This window comes from Homo sapiens, chromosome 15 (genome assembly GCF_000001405.40).
Source record: "Homo sapiens chromosome 15, GRCh38.p14 Primary Assembly".
Taxonomy (NCBI): domain Eukaryota; kingdom Metazoa; phylum Chordata; class Mammalia; order Primates; family Hominidae; genus Homo; species Homo sapiens.
Window position 1 is genome coordinate 41144826 of NC_000015.10, and position 7765 is coordinate 41152590.

General features: G+C 46.5%; 1 annotated feature.

Annotated features, from left to right (window-relative positions):
- Window positions 6621–7121: an enhancer, noted in NCBI's record as "H3K27ac hESC enhancer chr15:41443644-41444144 (GRCh37/hg19 assembly coordinates)". NCBI's record gives its function as "activates a minimal SCP1, AML or CMV promoter by ChIP-STARR-seq in naive H9 embryonic stem cells {active_cell/tissue: H9 hESC(naive)}" and the evidence as "EXISTENCE:reporter gene assay evidence [ECO:0000049][PMID:30033119]".

The window sequence follows — 7765 nt, forward strand, 5'->3', positions numbered from 1 at the left end:
GGTCTCTTGGTGCCTAGTGCATGCACTCAGTCCATAACAATGACCTGCCAGAATTTTGTTTACTATTAGGAGGGTAGTACCAAGAGTTCAGAGTATGATCCTTATCCAAGGTCCCCATAAACCAAACCTTCTAAAATCAAATAGATAAAAGAATGAACTAGATAAAGAGTTTACTCACTTGACTAGGCAATTTCTTCATCAGTCCCCTACCACTGAATCTCTATAATCTTCATTTGATGTATTTCTCCACAGGCCACAAGTGCCAGCAGCTGCACAGATACTTCTCTGTTTAGCCAATTATATCATAACTTTTATAAGAGAATTTAGTGTCTGTTGTGTAACTGTGGCCTTTACAGTAGAATTTGCTATAGAACTTAACATGAGGGAAACATTTCTTTTTTTTTTTTCCCCTAGATGGAGTCTTGCTCTGTCTTCCAGAGCTGGAGTGCAGTAGTGCAATCTCTGCTCACTGCAACCTCCACCTCCGAGGTTCAAGCAATTCTCCTACTTCAGCCTCCCAAGTAGCTGGGATTACAGGCACATGCCACCACGCCCGGCTAATTTTTGTATTTTTAGTAGAGATGGGGTTACATCATGTTGGACAGGCTGGTCTAGAACTCCTGACCTTGTGATCTGCCCACCTCAGCCTCCCAAAATGCTGGGATTACAGGCGTGAGCCACTGTGCCCAGCCAAGGGATCCATTTCTAATCATTGCTTCTTTTACATTAAACCATGGAAAAAGGACCTAACAAATGATGCCCTTTCTTTTAGAAGAGTGAAGGACTCCTGGCAATGTTCTCTTTAACCCATGATGTGGGTTAAGAGGAGTGAACGAGGGCTGGGTGCGGTGGCTCATACCTGTAATACCAGCACTTTGGGAGGCCAATGAGAGCAGATCACCTGAGGTCAGGAGTTTATGAGACCAGCCTGACCAACATGGAGAAACCCTGTCTCTACTAAAAATTAAAAACTAGCCAGGCTCGGCCAGGCATGGTGGCTCACGACTGTCATCCCAGCACTTTGGGAGGCCGAGGCAGGCGGATCACGAGGTCAGGAGATCGAGACCACCCTGGCTAACATGGTGAAATCCCGTCTCTACTAAAAATACACACACACACACATGCGCGCGCGCGCGCGCGCACACACACACACACACACACACACACACACACACACACACAAATAAGCCGGGCGTGGTAGCGGGCGCCTGTAGTCCCAGCTACTCGGGAGGCTGAGGCAGGAGAATGGCTTGAACCTGGGAGGCGGAGCTTGCAGTGAGCTGAGATAGTGCCACTGCACTCCAGCCTGGGTGACAGAGTGAGGCTCTGTCTCAAAAATAAATAAATGAATAAATACTAGCCAGGCTTGGTGGCGGGCGCCTGTAACCCCAGGTACTTGGGAGGCTTGAACCCAGGAGGCAGAGGTTACGGTGAGCCGAGATTGTGCCATTGCACTCCAGCCTGGGTGAGAAGAGGGAAACTCTGGCTGGGCATGGTGGCTCACAGCCTGTAATCCCAGCACTTTGGGAGGCTGAGGCGGGTGGATCACCTGAGGTCAGGAGTTCGAGACCAGCCTGACCAACATGGAGAAACCCCCCTCTCTACTAAAAATACAAAACAATTTAGCAGGGTGTGGTGGCGCATCCCTGTAACCCCAGCTACTCAGAAACTGAGTCAGGAGAGTCGCTTGAACTCTGGAGGCAGAGGTTGCAATGAGCCGAGATGGTGCCGTTGCACTTCAGCCTGGGCTATAAGAGCAAAACTCTGTCTCAAAAAAAAAAAGAGGAGTGAACCAATGTTTTGTTTTTGACTTATTATGAGGCAACGTATGAACGTATGTACCATTAAAGTTTCTTATCCACATTGGGCCTTCTTTTTTTTTTTTTTTTTTTTTTTTTTTGAGATAGAGTCTCACTCTGTTGCCCAGGCTGGAGTGCAGTGGTGCGATCTTGGCGTACTGCAACCTCCGCCTCCCGGGTTCAAGTGATTCTCCTGCCTCAGCCTCCTGAGTAGCTGGGATTACAGGCGTGGGCCACCATGCCTGGCTAATTTTTGTATTTTTAGTAGAGACGGGGTTTCTCCATGTTGGTCAGGCTGGTCTCGAACTCCTGACCTCATGATCCGCCCACCTCGGCCTCCCAAGGGCCTTCATTTTTTAATCTATTAATGTATAAGGTTATCCACGTATAAGGCTGGCTGCAAACTCCTTTACAAATAAAAGTATACCCCATTAGTGCCCATAACAGACCCCTTTTTCACTTCTATTGTTTATAGAGGCATAAGCAAGAAAAAAAATATTCAAAGATAAAACGTCATGATAGTAGAAGTCTTCACCTGTGAACTTGGGAAAAGCTGTTCACATCAAGGATGACATCCTCTTCTTGGGAGAATTTTCCCTGGTTAGTTTTACCTTAAGGGATCCAGTGGGTGCACAGCTCTAAGAGCACGGAGGACCCTTCTCAGCTGTGAGATTATGAACCCATTCAAGGTCCCGAAGTTTTCTTGTAGTGTGGAAAGGACAGTTATTCTCTGATGTTTCCAGAAGATTCAAACTATAAAAAACTTTCTTTACCTGGTGAAAATACACTGTACCGTAATAATCTACTGTTATAACATCAGCCCTCTTGCATGAGAAAGCTTTCATACAAGAAGAAAACATACATTGAAAATAAAAATCAGCTGGGCGCGAAGGCTCACCCCTTTAATCCTAACAGTTTGGGAGGCCGAGGCGGGTGGATCACTTGAGGTCAGGAGTTCGGGCCCAGCCTGGCCAACATGGTGAAACCCTGTCTCTACTAAATATACAAAAATTAGCCAGGCATTGTGGTGGGTGCCTGTAATCCCAGCTATTCCAGAGGCTGAGGCAGAAGAATCACTTGAACCCGGGAGGCGGAGTATCACTTGAACCCGGGAGGTGGAGTTTGCAGTGATCTGAGATCGCACCCCTGCACTCCAGCCTGGGTGACAGAGCAAGACTCTGTCTCAAAACAAACAAACAAAAACAATTTCAGTGTTAGCTGAACATGAAAGTATTTTCTTGATATTTAATTTTTTGTTGTTGTTGTTCTACTTGGGTTAGTAGCTTCATACAAGGAAATTTGGTTATTTCTGTAGTTTACAATAACTTAACATAATAACTATAATTGTGATTGGTACCATATACTTAGACATTAGAATTTTAGAAATCCCATAAAATTTTGGGATATATATTAGTATTATTCACACAAATACAACCTAAAGAAGATTGAACATCATTTTGGCAATTCCATGTACCTAAACAGGTCAAATAATCCTGTTTACCTCTTTTCTGGATGTTTTCAGGGGCCCTCTGATCCATCCAGAAAGCCAAGCATTAGGAAAGATAATTTTGAAACGGAAGTTTGATTTTGGAATTCCAGATTACCATAAATTATTTATTTTGCCAAAGTGATGACTCAGAAATTTTAAAGAAGCAAAAGCCTTTTATAACCTTTAACAACAAAACAAAATACATTGTATTCTATTGTTTTTACACACCTTGCATGAACAACCATTTCTAGTAGTCTTTTTTTCTTTTTTTTTGAGACAGAGTCTTGCTCTGTTGCCCAGACTGGAGTGCAGTGGTACCACCTGGGCTCACTGCAACCTCCGCCTCCCAGGTTCAAGTGATTCTCCCTCCTCAGCCTCCTGAGTAGCTGGGACTACACGTGCACACTACTGTGCCCAACCAATTTTTGTATTTTCAGTACAGATAGGTTTTCACCATGTTGGCCAGGCTGGTATCGAACTCCTGACCTCAGGTAATCCACTCACCTTAGCCTCCTAAAGTGATGGGATTTCAGGCATAAGCCACCACTCCTGGAGTCTAGTTGTATTTGTTTGTTTTTGAGACGGAGTTTTGCTCTTGTTGCCCAGGCTGGAGTGCAATGGCATGATCTTGGCTCACTGCAACCTCTGCCTCCTGGGCTCAAGCGAGTCTCCTGCCTCGGCCTCCTGAGTGGCTAGGATTACAGGCATGCACCACCATGCCTGGCTATTTTTTGTATTTTTAGTAGAGATGGGGTTTCACCATGTTGACCAGTCTGGTTTCAAACTCCTGACCTCAGGTGATCTGCCCGCCTTGGCCTCCTAAAGTGCTGGGATTATAGGCACGAGCCACCGCGCCGGCCTCTAGTAGTCTTTTTTTTTTTTTTTTTTTTTTTTTTGAGACAGTTTCACTCTTGTTGCCCAGGCTAGACTGCAATGGCATGATCTCGGCGCACCACTCACCACCACCTCCGCCTCCCAGGTTCAAGTGATTCTCTTGCCTCAGCCTCTGGAATAGCTGGGATTACAGGCATGCGCCACCACGCCTGGCTAATTTTGTATTTTTAATAAAATGGGGTTTCTCCATGTTGGCCAGGCTGGTCTCTCAAACTCCTGACCTCAGGTGATCTGCCCTCCTTGGCCTCCCAAAGTGCTGGGATTACAGGCATGAGCCACCAAGCCTGGCCGCCTCTAGTAGTCTTAATTGCATATTATAATGGTGAATTTTAATGTAAAACCTAATAAGTTATTTTCTGATAAGGTTTGACTATTTCCAGCACAGCTAGGGGCGTGGCCAACTCCACATGTCCTCAGGCCTTACCTAGCTGGAAAGCAGGCAAGTTAAACAGTTTTCAAAAGCCAAAGAAGCAGTCTGTGACCTTAAAGCATTTAGCAAACCTAATATTTGAACATAATTTAGACCACGTTTACATTTAGAAGACAATTGTATTTGACCAATAATCTTTAAAACTGTCTTTATTTCCCGAAGATTGCTAAAGTCACATGAACTAAAGGGCATTACACGTTCTACTTTTCTGGCAAAATGTTTGATTTAAGCTCTTATTATTATTAAACCAATTAATTTAAAACTTTACAGAGGAGATTAATCACTTTGCACAGACAGAAAGAAGTCAGAGACTGAGTGGTACGAAATTATTACCCTTTTGCCGACATGCCAGCTTTCTGGGTTCTCTCTCCCTGAGCGGCCCTGGCGACCCATGCTTGACTGTATGCAGACAAACATATTGCCATGAATTAAGAATATTCACAAATTGTTTACAAATTTTGGAGAATCTAGGCAGAGAGAGAAATATGACTCAAATTCTATTTGTGAGAGTATACTCAATATGCTTAAAGTATCAGGAAGCCCAAAATCCAAAAAGTTATTTTAAGGATAAAAAGTTGGCATGCTCCATTAATTCCTGCAGGCCTGACAAAGGTAGCTCAGGAATTCCAGATATATGGAATGTATGATGACTTGCTAGAAATGCATAGAAACACAGAACTAAATAAAAGCCTTCCACTAGGAACTAAAAAAAAACCATGGTTTTATATATATGCATACACAAGTAAAGCCAGAGGAGAATAAACAGCAAACAAATGAAAACCAGAAGCAAAAACAAACAGGAAACCAACCATAAATTTTCCTGCTCAATTTACTCTGGAGGCCACAGTGTTACCCAGGGCCCCAAAAAACCCATATAATGAATATTTTATTCCTGATACACAATTCAATATCCTTAAGTTCACCAATATCATTATACATTCTGTGCAATCAAGAAATCCACTTTAGGCACACAACCAATAAGTAATCTAGCACTATCCAGGCAAAACAGTAAACATAGTGTGAAGCAATGCAGGCAACTTTACGCTAAATCCAGGTTCATGCTTGTGAAAGTGCCTTTGCAGAATTATGACCGAGACAGTGAAAGAGATCTAACTTAACTGGCTCCATCTTGCTTCTAACCCCCAAGCTGTCCTAGTTCATTCCTGGGCGTAGACTGAACTAACTTTGGAAGAAACTTAGTTTGTCGTTTATAGTTTAAACAAAGATGGTAAAGGCCCTTTCTTAAAGCAGTCCTCCTTCTTGCCTGGGGACTAGACTGCCTTAGTAGGACTAATTTAGCCACAAGATTAGAAATTATGGTTTAGGAGTCCTGCAGCTGGAGGCTACAAGATTCTGACCCTGCCTAAACTGCTCCTTAGATCAGTGCTTTAGACATTTTGCAGATCCTGCACTTGCTGGATCAGCTGGCACCACCCAGATCAATACACTGGCTCATCTGATCTTGTGGCCTCCATCCAGGAACTGACTCAGAACAGAAGAAGAAGACAGCTCAGACGCTCTATGATTTTATCTCTGACCAATCAGCACTCCTGGCTCACTGACTTCCCTCCACCCACCAAGTTATCCTTAGAAACTCTGCTCCCCAAATGCTTGGAAAGAGTAATTTAAGTAATAATACAACTCGGGTGGGATGCCGTGGCTCACGCCTTGTAATCCCAGCACTTTGGGAGGCCAAGGCGGGTGGATCACGAGGTCAGGAGTTTAAGACCAGCCTAGCCAACATGGTGAAACCCCGTCTCTACTAAAAATACAAAAATTAACCAGGTGTGGTGGTGTGCGCCTGTAGTCCCAGCGGCTTGTGAGGCTGAGGCAGGAGAATCGCTTGAACCTGGAGGCAGAGGTTGCAGTGAGCAGAGATCGCTCCACTGCACTCCAGCCTGGGTGACAGAGCAAGACTCCTTCTCAAAAAAAAAGAAACAAAAAAACTCTGGTCTTCCACACAGCGAGCTCTGCGTGATTACTGTTTCTCTATTGCAATTCCCGTCTTGATGAATCGGGTCTTTCTAGGCATTGGGCAAGGTGAATCCCTTGAGCCATTGAAAGGTGACATCGTGCTGGCAGCCCTCACAGCCCTTGCTCGCTCTCTGCGCCTCCTCCGCCTTGGCGCCCACTCTGGCCGCGCTTGAGGAGCCCTTCAGCCTCCCGCTGCACTGTGGGAGCCCCTTTCTGGGCTGGCCAAGGCCGAAGCCGGCTCCCTCAGCTTGCCCGGAGGTGTAGAGGGAGAGGCGCCTACGGGAACCGGAACCGGGGCTGTGCGCGGTGCTTCCAGGCCAGCCTGAATTCTGGGTGGGCATGGGCTCGCCAGCCCGCACTCGGAGCGGCCAGCCGGCCCCGCCGCCTCGGGCAGTGAGGTGCTTAGCATCTGGGCCAGCAGCTGCTGTGCTCAATTTCTCACCAGGCCTTAGCTGCCTCCCCGCGGGGCAGGGTTTGGGACCTGCAGCCTGCCACGCCTGAGCCTCCCTGCCACTCCGTGGGCTCCTGTGCCGCGGGAGCCTCCCGGAGGAGCGCCGCCCCCTGCTCCACGGCGCCCAGTCCCATCAACCACCCAAGGCCTGAGGAGTGGGGGGCGAACGGCGCGGGACTGGCAGGCAGCTCCACCTGCGCCCCGGTGGGGGATCCACTGAGTGAAGCCAGCTGGGCTCCTGAGTCTGTTGGGGACTTGGAGAACCTTTATGTCTAGCTAACGGATTGTAAATACACCAATCGGCACTCTGTATCTAGTTCAAGGTTTGTAAACACACCAATCAGCACCGTGTGTCTAGCTCAGGGTTTGTGAATGCAACAATCTACACTGTATCTAGCTAATCTAGTGGGGATGTGGAGAACTTTTGTGTCTAGCTCAGGGATTGTAAATGCACCAATCAGCACCCTGTCAAAATGGACCAATCGGCTCTCTGTAAAATGGACCAATCAGCAGGATGTGGGTGGGGCCAGATAAGAGAATAAAAGCAGGCTGACTGAGCCGGTAATGGCAACCCGCTCGGATCACGTTACATGTAGTGTGAGGTTTGTTCTTTGCGATATGTCTTGCTGTTGCTCACTCTCAGTCTTTGGGTCCACGCTGATCTTATGAGCTGTAATACTCACTGTGAAGGTGTGCAGCTTTGCTCCTGAAGCTAGCGAGACCACGAA